We start from the raw sequence: 20,026 nt of genomic DNA, 5'->3' as shown, positions 1-20,026 counted from the left end.
GCCTGAATGGGACCACTTAAAGGGGAATTTCCTCCTTCTTGATAACAGGTTTCATCCACTGGGATTTCTCTCCAGGTCAGGCAGCTCTAAGAACCCCAGTCAGAGTAGAAACTTGAACCCAGGGAAGAGAGAGGCTGAGGTGGCCTCTGCAGAATGTGGTACCTTGGTTTGGGAGGAATGTGTCACATGGGGGTTCTTTGCCTGAGTCTCTGGACAGGTCTCACCAGGGGTGTTGGCTGAAGGTCGCTACTGTAGGTTGTTGCTATGTCTTCCTCATGGTCAAGTACACCCCACACATGGACATGAGCCTGACCATGGCCATGATGTGGGGAATAGGTGACTGTGAGGAAGACGTGCATGAGGCATATCAAGTTGAATGGGAGAAAGCAGAGGCCTGGAACTGGGGTCATGTTCCAGGATCTCATCCCACCCCAGGCCTCCAGAGGCTCTGCTGTCAGAGCCATTTTCAAGATTTAAAAAAGTAGGGCACATGCTTGGATTGTCCCATGTTACCAGCTAATGAAGAGCAGAGCCTGGAGTCGCACTAGGCTTATCTGACCTCCAAGTCCTCTTTCCCATTACTCTGGGGGAAGTCCCTCATTCAACACAAAGTCATAGCTTATGTCATGTGTCTCCTGGTGGGGACCCAGGAACCTCCCCTGCAGCATCCTAGTACCTGGCCCAGGGCCTGACCCTAATTGGAAGCACAATGAATGTTTGTTGACTAAATAAATGAATGACGCATTCCAAGCAGAGCCAGTTGCAGGTTCTCCCTGGGAAGGAGGTGGATGAAAAGTGAACCCACAGAGGCCGTTGAAGTCTCTTCCTGCACCCTCAGCCCTGCTCCTCTACCCACAGTCTGGCCTCCAACTCTGTTCCTCAGCCCCCAGCTTCCCAGAGGGGCTTTGGAACTCACAGTCAGCCCCTGGCATCCTTCTTAAAGGTCAAGAACACCAGGGAGGGGTGAGAGGCCTCCAGACCTGTAGATGCTCAGGACCAAGGGTTGAGCAGAATAAGGTCCCGGTTCTCAGGGAGCTCCTGAACTATTGGGCAAGAGAGGCCCAAAACGTGTAGTAGAATTCCCCACAAGGGAGGGAGCATGGAGGAGCTGTGGGGGCAGGGAGGAGGAGCCCTCCATGGACTGTGCATGGGTGGGGAGGTCAGGGAGGCTTCATTTCTAAGCTGGGGACTGAGAGCCAAGCAGGAGTTGACCAGATAAATAGGTAAGAAAGGGGTAGAGGAAGAATATGTTGGAAGATCCAGAGGAAGGAGATCTTGTAGAACACCCAGAGACAGGAAAGAAGGTCTGGCAAGGGCTGGAGAGGTGGGGTCCCTAACACACAGCCACGGAGATCATGCCCAGATCTCAGACGGCGGGGAGCTGCCTTTGTGTGCTCGGGATGCCATAACAAAATACCACAGACTTCGTAGCTAAATAACAGACATTGATGCCTCACTGTTCTGGAGGCCAGAAGTCCAAGATCAAGGTGCCAGCAGATTCAGTTTCTGGTGAGGGCTCTCTTCCTGGCTTGTAGACAGCTGCCTTCTTGCTGTGTCCTCACATGGCCTTTTCTTTGTGTGTGTGCTCACAGTGGGGAAGAGGAGAGTGAGCTCTGCAGTGTCTCCTCTTATAAGGCATGAATCCCAAGGGATCAGGGTCCCACTCTTATGACCTCATTTAACCTTAATTACTTCCTAAAGGCCCCTTTTCCAAACACAGTTGCAATGGGACTTAAAGCTGCAACATGTGATTCTGGGGAGGACACAATTCAGTCCACAGCAGGGGCCATGGAAGGTTTTAAGCAGGGAGGTCCTAGGGTAAGATTGGCCTTTGGGGAGCTCTTTCTGGCCGCAGAGGGGAGGATGGGCCAGAGCAGGCAGGACTGGAAGCTGTCTGAGTGGTTGCTCTAGTCTAGCGGTGAGAAGTGTCACTGGACCAGAGGCATGGCATTTGGAAGGGAGTGGGGGAGCTGCTCAATAAGCTTGGATCCGCGGGACTCAATGTGAAAAGAGGGCTTAGAGAGGGGGAGAGGTCAAGGATGACTGCCAGAGTCCCAGCTTGGGTAAGAGGGGGATGCAGGGACAGTTTCATGGGCATGTGACCTGCATGGTCCCACACACCAAAGGGCCCAGCGTTTGTTTAATGCTCTGCTGTTGCTGTCTTGAATTATTAACAGTTTTTTAACTGTTTAACAAGAGGCTCTGCATTTTGATTTTGCACTGGGACCTGCAAATTCTTGAGCCATTCTGCGTGGATGGGGGTCTGTGAACCTCTCTCCTCCTCCACAGATCACCAGACTGGAGCAGGGAGGGAGCTGGCCTCCCTACGACCTCTCTCTCTTGAGATGGTTACTTGATACCAGCCTTATTGCTGCCAAAACTAAAACAAGGACAAAAAAACAACAACCCTCCTAATTAACACCCTCAGCACCACTAGCAGTTAAGGGCAAAGGCTTTAGAGTCTCTGAGAAGAAAGCAAATCAGGTGCTGAATTTATTGCCTTTAGGAATTTTTAAGGCTCCATTGCCTTATCTATGGGGTGACCATGTACTTTATTGACCAGCTCAGTACGCTTCTAAGACTAGAATGGGAAAGTGGGAATAAAATACTCCCTATGCTGGGACAATAGGTGCCAACTGGATCTGTCCCATCCAAACTGGGACACATGATCCCCTACTTTTCTGTAAAATGGGATTAAATAGAACCATGCAGAGAATACAGGGGGGCCAAAGTAAGTGCTCAGTGAGCAGCACCTTCATTATTTCTTTTTATTTTTTTATTTTTATTTTTATTTTTTTGAGATGGAGTCTCACTCTGTTGCCCAGGCTAGAGTGCAGTGGCATGATCTCGGCTCACTGCAACCTCCGCCTCCCCGGTTCAAGTAATTCTCATGTCTCAGACTCCTGAGTAGCTGGGACTACAGGTACGTGCCACCACGCCCAGCTAATTTTTTGTGTTTTTTGTAGAGACGGGGTTCCACCATGTTGCCCAGGCTGATCTCGAACTCCTGACCTCAGGTGATCTGCCAGCCTTGGCCTCCCAAAGTGCTGGGATTACAGGCATAAGCCACCACGCCCGGCCTTTTTTTTTTTTTTTTGAGATAGTCTTGCTCTGTCACCCACACTGGAGTGCAGTGGCATGATCTCTGCTCACTGCAACCTCAGCTTCCCAGGTTCAAGACATTCTCTTGCCTCAGCCTCCTAAGTAGCTGGAAACAGGCACCTGCCATGACATCAGGCTAATTTCTGTGTTTTTAATAGAGATGAGGTTTCACCATGTTGGCCAGGCTGGTCTTGAACTCCTGACCTCAAGTGATCCACCTGCCTCGGCCTCTCAAAGTGCTGGGATTACAGGCATGAGCCACCGTGCCTGGCCATCTTATCATTATTTATTTATTTATTAGACAGAGTTTTGCTCATTGCACAGGCTGGAGTGCAATGGCATGATCTCGGCTCACTGCAACCTCTGCCTCGCAGGTTCAAGTGATTCTCCTGCATCAGCCTCCCAAGTAGCTGGGATTACAGGCATGTGCCACCATGCCTGGCTAATTTTTGTATTTTTAGTAGAGATAGGGCTTCACCATGTTGGCCAGGCTGGTCTTGAACTCCTGACCTCAAGTGATCCACCTGCCTTAGCCTCCCAAAGTCCTGGGATTACAGGCATGGCCATCACGCCCAGCCATCCTATCATTATTTCTATACTCTGCAGTCACTCTCAATTGATGTCTAAATGTCATTCACTTGTCAATCAATTACTCACTACCCACCATGTGTCAGGTACACAGCATTGGTTCTCCTGATGTGAAGATGTACTGATAATTCATCTATTCAGCCCACATTTTGTGAGCAGCTCCTATCTGCCAGGCTAGGTTCTGAGGCTAGGCTCGTTCTGGGGATCCAAAGATGAGTGACACCACTTGTCCTCCTGGGGCTTGCAATCTTGTAGGGTACGGTGGGTGAAAGCGTGTCTCCCAAAAATGCATGTCCACCTAGAACTTCAGAATATGACCTTACTTGAAAACAGGGTTGGCCGGACGTGGTGGCTCACGCCTGTAATCCCAGCACTTTGGGAGGCCGAGGTGGGTGGATCACGAGGTCAGGAGATCGAGACCATCCTGGCCAACACGGTGAAACCCCGTCTCTACTAAAAATACAAAAAAATTAGCCAGGCGTGGTGGCGGGCGCCTGTAGTCCCAGCTACTTGGGAGGCTGAGGCAGGAGAATGGCCTGAACCCGGGAGGCAGAGCTTGCAGTGAGCCGAGATAGTGCCACTGCACTCCAGCCTGGGCGACAGAGTGAGACTCCATCTCAAAAAAAAAAAAAAGAAAAGAAAAAAAAAGAAAAAGAAAACAGGGTCTTTGCAGGTGTAATTAAGATAAGTATCAAAATAAAATCATGCTGGATTAGGGTGGGCCTGAAATCCAATGAGAGTGTCTTGATAAGAGACAGAAGAGTGCACAGAGACACAGACGAAAAGGCCTTGTGAAGACAGAAGCAGAGACTGGAGGGCAGGGGCACTCCACAAAATGCCAAGGATTTTGCCAGCAGCCACCAAAAGTTAGGAGAAAGGCATGGAATGGATCTTCCCTTAGACCCTCCATCACCCAGGCTGGAGTACAGTGGCGTGATCTCAGCGCATTGCAACCTCCACCTCCCGGACTCAAGCAATCCTCCTGCCTCAGCCCCCCAAGTAGTTGGGACTACAGGCTGGCTATTTTTTGTATTTTTTCGTAGAGATGGTGTTTCACCATGTTGCCCAGGCTGGTCTCAAACTCCTGGGCTCAAGCAATCCTCCCACCTCAGCCTCCCAAAGTGCTGGGATTATAGGTATAAGCCACCGCGCCCAGCCCACCTTGATTTCAGACTTCTGGAAGAACCATGAGAATAAGTTTCTGTTGCTTTCAGCTACCAAGGCTGTAGTAATTTGTTACAGCAGCCCTAAGAAAATAATCCATAGAGGACACACATGACACCCACATTGATAACTAAATGAATAATTATATGATAGCTACCTCCAGGGAGAGGTAGCGATGAGGAGGCGTCACAAGGAGGCTTCTGGGGAGCTGGTTATGTTCACTTCTTGACCTAGAGGCAGGTTATGCAGATGGGTTCATTTTGTGAAGGTATATTGAGCTGTACACAGGATTTGTGTGTTTTTGTGTTTGTTATACTTCAGGAAAAACTTAAAAAGATAAATTGCACAGGCCAGGTGCGGTGGCTCATGCCTGTAATCCCAGGACTTTGGGAGGCCAAGGCAGCTGGATCACTTGAGGTTAGGAGTTTGAGAGCAACCTGGCCAACATGGTGAAACCCCGTCTCTAATAAAAATACAAAAATTAGCCAGGCGTGGTGGTACACACCTATAATCCCAGCTACTCAGAGGCTGAGACAGGAGAATTGCTTGAACTCAGGAGGCGAAAGTTGCAGTGAGCCGAGATCATGCCACTGCACTCCAGCCTGGGTGACTGAGTGAGACTCCATCCCCCAAAAATAATAAAACAAAATAAAATTTAAAAAGATAAATTGCATAGGTAGATGTATAACTATAGATTGTGTTAAGTGCTTTGAAACAAAACTCATGGGTTATAGGAGACAGTATTTTTTAGTCAGCTAGGACTGCTATAACAAAATACCACAAACTGGGTGGCTTAAACAACATACATTTATTCCTCACAGTTGTGGAGGCTGGGAAGTCCAAGATTAAGGTGCCAGCAGATTCCTGGTGAGGGCTCTCTCCCTGGGTTTGCAGACAGCCACCCTCTTGCTGGGTCCTCACATGGTGGAAAAAGAATGATCTCTTTTCTTCTTACAAAGCCACCTTTCTCTGTTTACAGTTTTGTAACATTGGTAATCTGTGATGGTAGCGTCTGTCATTTATTGAACACCTATGTTCCAGAAACTTTACTGTGAAATAGGTACTATTGTCCCTCATTCCAGACGAGGAGGCTGAGGCTCACTTGCCTGTTCCTGGTAGATGGAGAATCTGTCTCATACCCTTTGACCCCACTGTCACTGTCTCTGAGCCAGCCATGCCTCAGGATCAGGCCTGGGGTGCAGGTGGAGGGCGTTGGGGAGCTTTCTATTTCCCTTACTACTAGTCCCAGTGATGTGGAGGATGACAGCCTGGAGGGAGGTGTCTGGGACAGCATCTGGCCAGGTACCTGGTGGGATGGTTTGCCCAACTGCCTGGGATGAGCTGCTTAGCCTCCCCACTTTCCTGAAAACCCAGGGCAAGAGTGTGTCTGGGAGGGAGGAGGACAAAGAGACCCAGTCACCTGGGCCACCACCTGGAGTGGCAGTTGGGGAGGAAGTGGGAAACGCTGGCTGCTTCTCCAGCCCTGGCCTCTTTCCTTCCCATCCGCTGGGCCTGACTTCAGTGCCCACCTCTAGGAGGGAGACTCAGAGAACCAGACTCACCTGCCTCCGAGCAGCTGTGGAGGCGACAGCCAGGTCTTAATGGCCTCTCCAGGGTCAGCTGAGGCCTGCCACGGGCACCTCCCCTCATAGCTGGACTGCTATTCAGAACACTGCAGCTGCAAGAAATTAGAGAAGCGAGGAGGCTGAGCAAGGAGCTGGTGCCAGGGGAGATCAGGGAGGAAGGGAATCAGGGCACCTTCTGGTCCTCCCAGTTCCTGAAAACCTACTGTCAGGCTGTACTTCCCCAAACAGCGTTTAAGGGAAGCCAGCCCCCTACCACAGGCTGTGCACTGCTCTGAACAACTCCAGGAGGCATCATCACATAGGTGACCACACGTGGTCTTGTGGTTCTCCGCTGCCACCCATGCCAGCCCTGCTTGGGTCCTGTCACCTCATCCCCTCACTCACAAACCTGGTTTCCCCAGCCCGGCACCCAAACCCATGCTTCATCGATTCGTTCTTTCCTTTAATATGTGTTTGTCAAGTGCAAGAACCACCCACGGGGCTTTAAGTTCTAGGGACATAGTAGAGTCAAGGCAGTCACCTCAGCCTTTGCAGTCTGGTGGGAAGCTTGGAGAGATTAACATTAAGCAGACACCATGAAATCTGGCTTGATAAAACTCCAATTAACCCTCTTGAGAGTTCACCAGCAGTCTCCGTTCTCTCAATAAAATCCGCAGCCTGGAGCTCAGGAAACAATGAATGTTCAGAGCCAGGGTTTCCCTCTGCAACCTGCCCCCGCACATCTGGTTTTATCTAAATTCCTGGCACCTGCCCACTACCAGCTCCAACTGGGTCAGAACACAGGGCTTCTACCGAGTAAATACAAATATTTAACCACTTATACATATGATGACTACTTGGCAGGAGAAGCATTGCAAGTGTGTAACATGGGAATTCGACCCCATTTTAGCAATCCAGGAGGGCTTCCCAGGAGAGGTGACTTTTAAGATGTGCTCAGAAGGATGACTCAAAGTTGACCCAGACTTCTTGAGGGAGAGAAGAAGCCTTCCTGGCCCCTCAACAACCCAGATTGCTCAGCCACAGTCAGACAACCCATGCCACCAGGATGTCACCAAGATTTGACAACCGAGACTCTCAGACACTCTCTCTCCCTGGCACACATACACACTCGTACACACGATGACAGCCATGGGACGGCCAGGCAGCTGGACGTCTTTGTCCCCCACTCCCAGCCTGATGGCCACCCCATCAGTCCTTTGCTCCTTCACTCTGCTTCCCATCAGTCCCCTCCTTCTGGGAGTCACAACTCCCTGGGTTGTGATTCTGGCTTCATATTCACTGGCCATGTGACCCTGGGCACATTACTCAAGCTCCTGGATACTGCTCCTCCACTGTCAGTGAGGGTCATGATCCTCCCTGCCTCTCAGGGCCACAGAGAAGGTTAAGGCTCATAATTCCCGTAAAGCACCTTTGCAGCGCCTGTCCCTCCACAGTGGCAGCTCTTCTTAGCACGGTTGCTGTCACTATCATTCGCTGTGGCCTTGCTCTGGCCCCACCCCCATGCCCCTCCTTCTCCCAGCCTACTGTCTCCCCACTTCTGCCTGGGCCTCCTCTCTCTCTCCTCTCCCTCCTTCCAGAGCCTGAGACCCAGAATTCCTGAAGGGCTGGGGACAGGGAAGGGGCAGCCAGCTCCCCAAACAGAAATGTCACCTGCTTGGAGTCCCCAGTGGAGGGGTGGGGTGGAAGCTTTCTGCTCAGCCTTGAGAACCCTGCCCTAACCCCCCACAGAGCCTGATACAGGCTCAAACCTGCATCAGGTCAAACCACCCCCACAGAGACAGAGCTGGGTGGGTTAGGCCGCTACCTGAACCTGGGTCGCTGTCTGCAAGCCAGCCAGGGAGGGGACTGGCCTCACCCCCTCAGAGGGGTGAAGATGCTCTGGGATCTAAGTCCACACTGAGGACAGCGGGAGGTGGAGAGCACCTCACGGAGGGGGGTTTGAATCCCGGGGCCTCCTTTACTCCTCTGGATCATCTTTGAGAAGTCGCCTCTTCTCTCCAAGCCTTGGTCTCCTCATTGGTAAGATGAGGCTGGACAATTCCTGCCTACCACCCACTCAGGGCTGTTGGGAGAAACAGTTGAGAAGAGGGCAGAAGGGAATCCTGTCAAGCCTGGGAACCAACGCCTTTCCGTCGCCAGTTGAGCTCTACGTTTTGGCCAGCAGATGGCGCGATAGAAGCGCCAGTGTCTCCGTTCCAGGCCCCGGACATTTGTTAAACGTGGCGAAACTGTTACTCAAGATCCCAAACTCTAGAGCTGATGGATCTCAGATTCTACCCCCTTAAGCTGCGCGCGGTGGCTCATGCCTGTAATCCCAGCACTTTGGGAGGCCGAGGTGGGTGGGTCATGAGGTCAGGAGTTCAAGACCAGCCCGGCCAACAGGCTGAAGCCCTATCTCTACTAAAAATACAAAAATTAGCCCGGCCTGGTGGCGGGCACCTGTAATCTCAGCTACTCAGGAGGCTGAGGCACGAGAATTGCTTGAACCCGGGAAGCAGAGGTTGCAGTGAGCCGAGATTGTGCCACTGCACTCCAGCCTGGGTGACAAAGCGAGACTCCAAAAAAAAAAAAAAAAAAAAAAAAGCCAGGTGCGGTGGCTCACGCCTGTAATCCCAGCACTTTGGGAGGCCAAGGCCGGTGGATCACAAGGTCAGGAGATCAAGACCATCCTAGCTAACAGGTGAAACCCCGTCTCTACTAAAAATACAAAAAATTAGCCGGGCGTGGTGGTGGGCGCCTGTAGTCCCAGCTACTCGCAAGGCTGAGGCAGGAGAATGGCGTGAATCTGGGAGGAGGAGCTTGCAGTGAACTGAGATCCAGCCACTGCACTCCAGCCTGGGCGACAGAGCAAGACTCCGTCTCCATATAAATATATATATATATATATACCTCCTTAATAGCAATGTGACTGGGTAAGCTACTTAACCTCTCTGAACCTCAGTTTCCTCATCTGGCATCCCTTCTTCTGGGGTTGTTGGAAGATTGATTTTCTCCAGGATGCAGAGCGCAGCGTCAGTGCTCAGTGACATGACTGGTACAACCCACTCAAGGGCGAGGCTGCAGCTCCGTCTATCCCCGCTAAGCACCCCTGGTTTCAGCCACACCTCGTGCCCACTCCAGCCAGGCCTCCAGGTTTCACTCACACCCTCTGCCCTCTGACTGGAATGTTCTCTTCCTCCTTGTTTCATGATTTCCTAGGAACTTTGAGACTTCTTGGGTTTTTCCCTAATTGTATTTTGAAAACTTTATCCAGGTATTACTTATAGATCATACAATTCACTCACTTTAAGGGTACAAGTCAATGATTTTCAGTAAGTTTACCAAGTTGTGCTCGAGATTTGATTTTTAAAATCCTGCATCTCAAATTCTACCTCTTTCCTGAGTCTCAGACCATGTGTTCAGCTGCCCCTTGGCTGTTGCCCCTTGGCTGTCCCCTGCCCCGCCAACTCAGTACATCCCCAGCCGGATCCATCACTGTCTTCCCTTCCCTTCTCCTCTCCCATGTCCCTTCTTGGCCAGCAATCCCATCCTTTTTCTCTATGTTCTTAGCACTTTGTTCGAGACCTGGCACATAGTAGGTGCTCAATAAAGGTTTGCTAAGTGGGCTAGGCACATGGCTCACACCTGTAATCTCAACACTTTGGGAGGCTGAGGTGGGCAGATCACTTGAGGTCAGGTGTTCGAGACCAGCCTGGCCAACATGGTGAAAACCCATCTCTATGAAAAAATAACAAAAATTAGCCGGGCATGGTGGCGCGTGCCTGTAATCCCAGCTACTTGGGAGGCTGAGGCAGGAGAATCGCTTGAACCCGGGAGGTGGAGGTTGCAGCGAGCTGAGATGGCGCCACTGCTCTCCAGCCTGGGCCACGGAGCAAGACTCCATCTAAAAAAAAAAAAAAAAAAAAAGTTTGCTGAGTGAATGAATAAAACCAACGTGACCCTTTACCCACATTTGATTGTTCACCCCTCACCTCCCACCACCTAGTCACCTGTTAGATCTACCTTGGAACTGTCTGCCTGGTGTTCACCCTTCCCAGAGCCCTGCTGCCCTGGCCTTGTACTCACCCATGCCCTGCCTCACTGTCTCTCCTCTGTTTTTTTTTCTGTTTTTTTTTTTTTTTTTTACTTCTTCTCTGCCCCATCCCAGAGTGACTTCTCAGAAAAGCACACGTGATCCCACCACCCTCTCCCTAAGAATGTGCTACCCACTCATCTGCAATGATGTCAACACCCCCAAGTCTAACACCAGCAGCCCCCCGGGATTTGGTCCCAGCCCATTTCTTAGGCTCAGACTCAACCCGCTCCTTCCCCTCTCCAACTCTCTCAGGTTCTAATCATCCCAAACCACAAGAGCAGTATGATGCCGTGATTAAAAGGCAGGACGGGGTCAGGCTTCCTGGAGTCCGCATCCCAGTGGCAGCACCTCTCTGAGCCTCAGCTTCCTCATCTGTAAAATGAGAGTGATAATAGCATCGACCTTGTAGAGTTGTTGGGAGGATTAAATGAGGTGATGAAGGTAAAGCACTTAGAAAGGGCTTGGTACACGGTCCATACTCAATGTTAGTTTCGTTTCACTGACAACTCCCAGCTGAATTTCTGCTCGCCAGGGATAGACTGTCTTTCCCCTTTTTCTCCACTAGGGGTGCTGCAACCTATTTCACGATACCGGGGAGATGTGCTCCATCTGGGAGGCCTTCCCCAGGTCAGATTTAGCCAGCCCTTCCTGGGTCACAGAGCTTACCCACTGGGACCTCTCGTGCCACCTCTCCCAGGGCCAATCCAACCCCACGTCTTGCCCCACTTACCTCCCAAGCAGCCCTCAAATTTCTCCCCTTCTCTCAACCCCCTGCTGTCTCCCTGACACAGGCTGCCATCGCGCTCATTACGCACCCACTCTCCCCTTCTCTCCACCCCATTGCTGCCTCCCTGGCACCAGCTGCCATTGTGCCCATGCCTCGCCCACTCTGCCCCTCCAGTGTTCCATCCAGAATGGACAGCTGTCCTCACTGTCCTTCCCTGAAGCCTTCACTGGCTCCTAAGTATGGTCCACTAGAGCCTCAGCTGCATAACGCACCCCTTCCTTTGCCAGCTGGGTTCCAGCCACACTGGCCTCACAAGCACCCTGCCCTCTCCCAGCTCAGGGCCTTGGCACATGCTGTTTCTGCCTCCTGGACCCTCTTTCCCCACCCTATCAGTCCTTATTCAACTCCTTTAGATGCTGACCTCCCCAGAGATGCCATCTCTGACCCTCCCACCACCAAGTACATCAAGGTCCCCCATGATGTCTTCATAGCACTCTGTACTTCCTCTCCTTAACCCTTATCACCGTTTATAATATGCAGTTGAATGGCTATTTGAGGAATATCTGCCTCCCCACTTCCTTTAAAAGCTTCCTGAGAGCAAGGCTGTGGATGTCTTTCATTATGTCCCCAGAGGGTTGGCATATGCCAGAGGAGTGAATGAATAAAAAGGGAATATTTCCTTATGTGTCTTTCTCGCATGTCAGGTCCCCATTCCCAGACTGATCCCCTACCCCACCTTGGCCTGGAACTTCAGTGGGAATCAACAAATGCTGTATGGATGAATGATAACACCCTTTTCCTGGTTTCCTTAAGGTTGATATTTTAACTACTCTTAAAGAAACTGTGATGTGTTGTGATAAAATATTATTATTATTATTTTATTTATTTATTTTTGAGACGGAGTCTTGCTCTGTCACCCAGGCTGGAGTGCAGTGGTGCAATCTTGGCTCACTGCAACCTCCACTTCTCAAGTTGAAGCAATTCTCAGCCTCTCAAGTAGCTGGGACTACAGGCGTGTGCCACCACGCCCGGCTAATTTTTTTTTTTTTTTTTTTTTTGAGACGGAGTCTTGCTCTGTCGCCCAGGCTGGAGTGCAGTGGCTCGATTTTGGCTCATTGCAAGCTCCGCCTCCTGGGATCACGCCATTCTCCTTCCTCAGCCTCTCGAGTAGCTGGGACCACTGGCGCCTGCCACCACGCCTGGCTAATTTTTTGTATTTTTAGTAGAGATGAGGTTTCACTCTGTTAGCCAGGATGGTCTCGATCTCCTGACCTCGTAATCTGCCTGCCTCGGCCTCTCAAAGTGCTGGGATTACAGGCGTGAGCCACCGCGCCTGGCTGATAAAATATTATTAATAATAATATCTACATGGGCATTGGAGCTGGCTGTCACTACCCGCTTATTCTCCCAGGAAGGCATATTCTTTGATCACGAATATCTCTGCAGGCCTCTGTAATTAACTTTCTCAGCCCTGATTGACCCTAGGGGATTGGCAAGACAGTGTCACTATTTTCCTGCTTTTACAGAAGAGAAAAATAGAGGTTTAGGAAAATTAAGGGGCATGCCCACGGGTGGCTGAGCTGGCCTTCTGTGTCCCAGCCCTGTCAGTTACCACTCCATACCTCCCAAAGCCTAGATTTTAAGCCACGCCACTGTACCCAGGGCCTAGTGCAGTGACTGGTGAGAAGGAGAATGGTTAGTAATGGTTGTTGAATGAATACATGAGTGAATGAATGCCTTCTGGAAAGTCTTTTCAGGAGAGGGCCTTAGCTGCAGGGGCCAGACCCCAGGATACCCTGTTCCCCCTTGAGAGACCACCCAAAGATGCTTTCTCTGGTCAGGGCTCTACCTTAGCTGGGAGCCCATGAGGAGAGGAGAAAAAGGGTTCCAGGCAAGGGGAAAAAGAGTCTCATACAGCAGCATCTCCTGAGTACAGCACTTAACAGTTTGCAAAGCCCTTGCATTCACTGCCTCTCCCTGGGATTTCAGAGGAGCTCTTCAAGAAGCCAGGGCAGAACAAATAAACACACAAGGGAAAAAAAAGGAAGAAAAGCTCTCTTTTCCCTCTTTGCAAAGCCAATATGTGTGTTCTTCGTAAACATTTGAGAACTATGCTGTCCAATGCAGTAACCACTAGCCACATGTGGCCACTTAAGTTTAAATTAATTAGAATTAAATACAATAAAAATTTCATTTTTCAGTCTCACTAGCCACATTTATTTATTTTATTTTGAGGCAGGGTCTTGCTCTGTTGCCCAGGCTGGAGTGCAGTGGTGCAATCATGGCTCACTGCAGCCTCAACCTCCTGGGCTCAGGCAATCCTCCCACCTCCGCCTCCCAAGTAGCTGGGACTACAGTCACACACCACCACACCCAGCTAATTTTTGTATTTTTTTATAGAGATAGGGTTTTGCTATGTTGCCCTGGCTGGTCTCAAACCCCTGGGCTCAAGTGATCTGCCCACCTGGACCTCCCAAAGTGCTGGGATTACAGGCATGAGCCACAGGGCCTGGCCAACTAGCCATATGTGAAGTATTCTGTATGTGGCTAATGGCTATGATAATATTGAACAAGGCAGATAGAGAACATTTCCATCATCCCAGAAAGTTCTACTGGATAAAACTGATTTATGACATATAAATAAGCAAAAGGAAGGGAGGGAAAACACCTGTCATTCCATTTTCCAAAGAATACCACTGCTAACATTTTGGCATGGATATTTCCAGTTTTTTCTATGGGTGGGCAACATATATACATTTTTTTTCAAAAATGGGTTAATACTCTACAGTCTGTTTTATGGCCTGTTTTTTCACTCACCAAATTACTGTAAATATCTTTTCTATAACATATTTTTAAACGGGGGTGCAATGTTTGTATGACTACTATAATTTACTTGCTCAGTTCTCTACTCACAGGTATTTGTGTTGTCTTCTATCTTTTTAAACTATCAAGACAACTATTGTTTATTTTTTTAATTTAAACATTTTGTGTGACAAGAGCTGTATTTTATTTTGATATCAATTCATTAGTTTTGTAAAAGTGGTAGATGCTCATTATAGGAAAGTAAATAAAATACACGATGTGCAAAGAAGAAAAACTATCTCCCCAAATCCCTCTACCCCCAAATAACCATATTTTCTTTCAAAAAAAATTTTTTTTTTTTTTTGTGACGGAGTCTCACTCTGTCGCCCAGGCTGGAGTGCAGTGGTGCGATCTTGGCTCACTGTAACCTCTGCCTCCTGGGTTCAAGCGATTCTCCTGCCTCAGCCTCCCAAGTAGCTGGGATTACAGGCACATGCCATCATGCCCAGCTAATTTTTGTATTTTTAGTAGAGACAGGGTTTCACCATGTTGGCCAGGCTGGTCTCGAACTCCTGACCTCAAGTGATCCGCCGGCCTCAGCCTCCCAAAGTGCTGGGATTATAGGTCTTTCAATTTTTTATTGTAAGATCTTTCTTTCTCTCTCTCTTTCTTTCCCTTTCCCTTTCCCTTCTTCCTTTCTTTCTTGACAGGGTCTCATTCTGTCACCCAGGCTGGAGTGCAATGGCACAATCAGAGCTCACTGCAGCCTTGACCTCCTGGGCTCAAGCAATCCTCTCACCTCAGCCTCCAGAGCTACTGGGACCACAGGCGTTTGCCACCACATCTGGCTAATTTTTTTTTTTAGAGGCTGGATCTCACTACGTTGCCCAGGCCAGTCTCAAACTCTTAGCCTCAAGTGGTTCTCCTGCCTCAGCCTCCCAAAGTGCTGAGACCACAGGCATGAGCCACCACACCTGACTAGATTTTTCTTTTTCTTTTTTTTTGAGACAGGGCCTCACTCTGTCACCCAGGCTGGCGTGCAATGGTACAATCTGGGCTCACTGCAGCCTCAATCTCCAGGGCTCAAGCAATCCTCCCACCTCAGCCTCCTGAGTCTGGGACTACAGGTGCACACCACCATTTCCAGCTAATTTTTATATTTTTTTTGTAGAGATGGGGTTTCACCATGTTGCCCAGGCTGGTCTGAAACTCCCGTCTCAAGTGATCCTGCCAAGGCCTGCCTTGGCCTCCCAAAGTGCTGGGATGACAGGCGTGAGCCACTGTGCCTGGCCCAGATTTTTTAAACATACAGAAAGGTTGAAAGAATAACACAGTGAACCCCCCTACACCTCCCACCAGCTCAATTCAACAATGGAAACCACCACATTTTAAACATGTTGGTGTCCTCTTCCTAAATAGCTTCCTGGGTCTGAACACACACAGATATGTGTATACAAGAATGACATCACACTTTACATATTGCTCTTAATTTTTTTTTTTTCTTTGAGATGGAGTCTCGCTCTGTTGCCCAGGCTGGAGTGCAGTAGTCCAATCTCAGCTCACTGCAACCTCTGCCTCCCAGGTTCCAGCGATTCTCCTGCTGCAGCCTCCTGGGTAGCTGGGATTACAGGCGCACACCACCACGCCTGGCTTATTTTTGTATTTTTAGTAGAGACGAGGTTTTACCATGTTGGCCAGGCTGGTCCTGAACTCCTGACTTCAGGTGATCCACCCACCTCAGCCTCCCAAAGTGCTAGGATTACAGGCATGAGGCGCCACACCTGGCCTGCTGGTTTTTAAAAAAATGTTCACTTAATAATATATTATAAACATATTCTCAAGTTTCATGAAGTATCCTTTCACAATATCATTTTTGATGGCCCCTTAGTATTCATTATATGGCTCTATCATAATTTTAACAACCAACCCTTGTATGGTTGGACATTGATGTCATTTCCAATTTTTCACTACTATAAAAAAAGTTCCGTGAACATCCCTGCATCTTTTTGACATTGGGTAAGAATTACCTGAGGGTAAATTCCTAGACTGAGGATTCAGGAGTCAAAGGACTTGCCTCACACTAGGGTAATAGCAATTCACACTTTCACTGATAATGCCTGAGACTCTCCAGCTACCCACATCCTCAGCAATATAGAAACAGTCTCCCTCAGACTGCCAGGCTAGAGTGCAGTGGCATGATCACGGTTCACTGTAGCCTTGACCTCCTGAGCTCAAGCCATCCTCCCACTTCAGCCACCTGCATAGCTGGGACCACAGGCACGTGCCACCATGCAGGGCTACTTTTTAAAATTTTTTTGTAGAGCCAGGGTCTCACCATGTTGCCCAGGTTGGTTTTGAAGTCCTGTGTTCCAGCAATCCACCCACCTCAGCCTCCCAAAGTACTGGGATTATAGGCATCAGCCATCGCACCCAGCCCTCACCAATATTATTATTATTATTATTATTATTATTATTATTATTATTATTATTATTATTTTAAGACAGGGTCTCACTGTGTTACTCAGGCTGGAGTGCAGTGGACACCAACAAATAGCTTCCCAGTTATGCAAACGCTTTCATCTACTTAACGTATATTGATTCAACACCTACCATGAGCCAGGCACTCTTCAGGATAATATAGCAGAGGATGGCACAAAGTCTCTGCTGATGATGAGGACTACAACATTCTAGTGGGAGAGACATACAGTAAACAAAGGTCAGTTCTACAGTGATGAATGCCATGAAGAAACGACAAGCAGGAGAGAGGGCTAGACAGTGGGAGAGGTGAGAGAGGATTAGGGTGCTATTGTATGTATAACAGGATGGCCAGAGAAACTTGCCTAGTGATGAGCGGAAGTGAGCCCTGTCATGGATAAATGGGCAGGGGCAGTTACCTTCTCTAGGCAGAGGGAATACAAGGGCGAAGACCGGGAGGCGTGATTGTGCTTGGCTGCTCGAAGAACAGCAAGGAGGCCAGTGGGGCTGGGGCAAGGGAGGGAAAAGCAACAGGAGGTAAGGTGGGGAGGGGTGTGCACAGCTCAGGTAGGACTTTCTAGGCCACAGAACGGTGTTAAGATTTTCTCTGAGTGAGAGGGGAGCCACTGGGGCATTTGAACAGAGGAAGGAAGTAATTTGACTCATGTTTTAAAAAGATCACATTGGCTGGGTGCGGTGGCTCATGCTTGTAATCCCAGCACTTTGGGAGGCCGAGGTGGGCAGATCATCTGAGGTCAGGAGTTCGAGACCAGCCTGGCCAACATGGTGAAACCCCGTCTCTACTAAAAACACAAAAATTAGCCGGGCGTGGTGGTGGGGGCCTGTAATCCTAGCTACTGGGGAGGCTAAGGCATGAGAATCACTTGAACCCGGGAGGTGAAGGTTGCAGTGAGCCGAGATTGCACCACTGTACTCCAGCCTGGGGGATAGAGCGAGACTTTGCCTCCAAAATAATAATAATAATAATAATAATAAATGAATAAATGAAAAGATCACATTGGTTATTCTATGGGGTATAAAGGCAGCAGGGAGTGCTAGGATGAAAGCAGGGATGCCCAGCACGGTGGCTCACACCTGTAATCCCAGCACTTTGGGAGGTCGAGACAGGCGGATCACGAGGTCAGGAGATCGAGACCATCCTGGCTAACACGGTGAAATCCCGTCTCTGTTAAAAATAAAAATAAAAAAAATTAGCCAGGCGTGGTGGTGGGCGCCTGTAGTCCCAGCTACTCGGGAGGCTGAGGCAGGAGAATGGTGTGAACCCAGGAGGCGGAGCTTGGAGCGAGCTGCCCTCCAGCCTGGGCAACAGAGCGAGACTCCGTCTAAAAAAAAAAAATTGGCCGGGCGCGGTGGCTCACGCCTGTAATCCAGCACTTTGGGAGGCCGAGGTGGGCGGATCACGAGGTCAGGAGATCGAGACCATCCTGGCTAACACGGTGAAACCCCGTCTCTACTAAAAATACAAAAAATTAGCCGGGCGAGGTGGCGGGCGCCTGTATTCCCAGCTACGCGGGAGGCTGAGGCAAGAGAATGTCGTGAACCCGGGAGGCGGAGCTTGCAGTGAGAGGAGATGGCGCCACGGCACTCCAGCCTGGGCGACAGCAAGACTCCGTCTCAAAAAAAAAAAAAAAAAAAAAGAAAGAAAGCAGGGAACGTCACTGAGAGGCTCTTACACAACTCCAGGCAAGAAACAGTGGTGCCTCGGACACAGGTAGTAACGGTGGAGACGGTGAGATTGCGGAAGCTTTGGAAGGTGGAGCTCATGCTATTCCTGATGGGTCAGTTTGGGGTGTAGAGATGGGACAGTTGAGTTTGTCAGCGGGAGGTCATCGATGACCTTGACAAGAGCAGTTTCAGTGGAGCGATGGGGGTGAAAGCCCCACAGAGAGAGCTGGAGAGAGAAAAGGAAGGAGGGATGAAGATGGTCAATTCAGAAAACACTGAGATGTTTTCCTGGAAGGGGGAGCAAAGAAATATGACGGTGTGGGTGTGGGGGTGTGTGTGCATGGGCTTGTGCATGTGTGTGTGTGTGTGTACAATTGGAAGAACTGCAGCCGATTGTGTGGTGATGTGAATGAGCCAGCAGAAGAGGGGGACCCCTGGAGCTGTGGGAGAGACGCAAGGAATTGCTCACTGTTGTCCTGGAGGAGGTGAGAGAGGATGAAGGGCAGTGTCCCAGTGGAGGGCGTAGAATTCAAGTTCCACAAGGCGTCCAGGTAACAGGCACGGATACAGGCGGGAGTGAAGGGAGAGGTGGAGTCTGAGGAAGTTTCCTTCTGATTGCTTCTGTTTCCCAGTGAAACAGAAAGCAAGGTCTCCAGCAGCTGACAGCTAGTACAGCAGGTTCTTTTTTTCTCAGGTGTTATAGATAGCTGCGCCTTCCGCTCACCACAGGTGAAATGGTTGGCTTGTATCTGGGGCCACACCACATAAAAACCATTTGAACAGCAGGATCACACTCAGCATGATGAGAGCCCACATGAGGCTGGAAGTGCAGGAACTTGGACCGGCGGGGGGAACCTGGCAGGTCACATTCCCTCTCAAGGGGTGAGTGCTCACCAAGTGGAATTGGAGTGTGACTCTGTAGCAGTGATTCATGCACAACGTGCTCTCTCTCTCTCTCCCCTCCCTTTACACGCGTGTTTAAATGTGTGTAAATTAGGCTGGGTGCAGTGGCTCACGCCCGTAATCCCAGCACTTTGGGAGGCCAAGGTGGGCAGATCACTTGAGGCCGGGAGTTCGAGACCAGCCTGGGCAACCTGGTGAAACACCGTCTCTGTGAAAAATACAAAAATTAGCCGGGCGTGGTGGTGCACATCTATAACCGCAGCTACTTGGGAGGCTGAGGCATGAGAATCACTTGAGCCCAGGAGGTGGAGGTTGCAGTGAGCCGAGATCACGCCATTGCACCCCAGCCTGGGTGACAGAGCAAGACCCTGTCTCAAAGAGAAAAAAAAAATGTGTGTAAGTTAAATGCACCATGATGAAGACTCCACTATAAATGGTGCCGCTGGAACCTCGGGCCTCCTGACTCCACATCAGTTTTGTCTCTACTATAATACTCCATCTCTCATCACACATCACTAGGGAGCACCAAAATTGCAGGGAAGAGGGTAACCCAGGCTGAAAGGAGGAAGAGAGCACTTAAACTAGAAAATTCTAGAACATCAGACCTCGATGGACCTTCACAGATCATTTGGTCCAACACCCTTATTTGACAGACATGGAAAATGTCATTCACTGACTCCCCCAATATCACACAACAGAATCCTCATCATCCCCATCATCATCCCCATCATCATCATCCCCATCATCATCATCACCATCACCATCATCCCCATCATCATCATCCCCATCACCATCATCCCCATCACCATCATCCCCACCATCATCATCCCCATCATCACCATCATCCCCATCATCATCATCCCCATCACCATCATCCCCATCACCATCATCCCCACCATCATCATCCCCATCATCATC

The 20,026-nt window shown here is 49.7% G+C and overlaps 1 long non-coding RNA gene across 10 annotated transcripts; it reads right to left on the bottom strand.

The window, feature by feature from the left end:
* Positions 1-5,643: 5,643 nt before the first annotated feature.
* MDS2 (myelodysplastic syndrome 2 translocation associated) lies at positions 5,644-18,878 on the bottom strand. 10 transcript variants are annotated; one of them, NR_167901.1, is made up of 7 exons: positions 18,675-18,878; positions 18,214-18,431; positions 17,615-17,705; positions 16,655-16,731; positions 6,961-7,103; positions 6,417-6,532; positions 5,644-5,823 (listed from the first exon to the last, which is right to left on the bottom strand). It is a non-coding gene; the product is annotated as a myelodysplastic syndrome 2 translocation associated (long non-coding RNA). The 10 variants fall into 10 exon arrangements; NR_167910.1 differs by lacking the exon at positions 6,961-7,103 and having other exon boundaries at positions 5,644-5,884; NR_167909.1 differs by lacking the exon at positions 6,961-7,103.
* Positions 18,879-20,026: the final 1,148 nt, after the last annotated feature.

This window comes from Homo sapiens, chromosome 1 (assembly GCF_000001405.40).
Source record: "Homo sapiens chromosome 1, GRCh38.p14 Primary Assembly".
Classification (NCBI taxonomy): Eukaryota; Metazoa; Chordata; class Mammalia; order Primates; family Hominidae; genus Homo; species Homo sapiens.
Note: the sequence above shows the minus strand (reverse complement) of the source record. Positions and strands in the feature narration are given on the sequence as shown.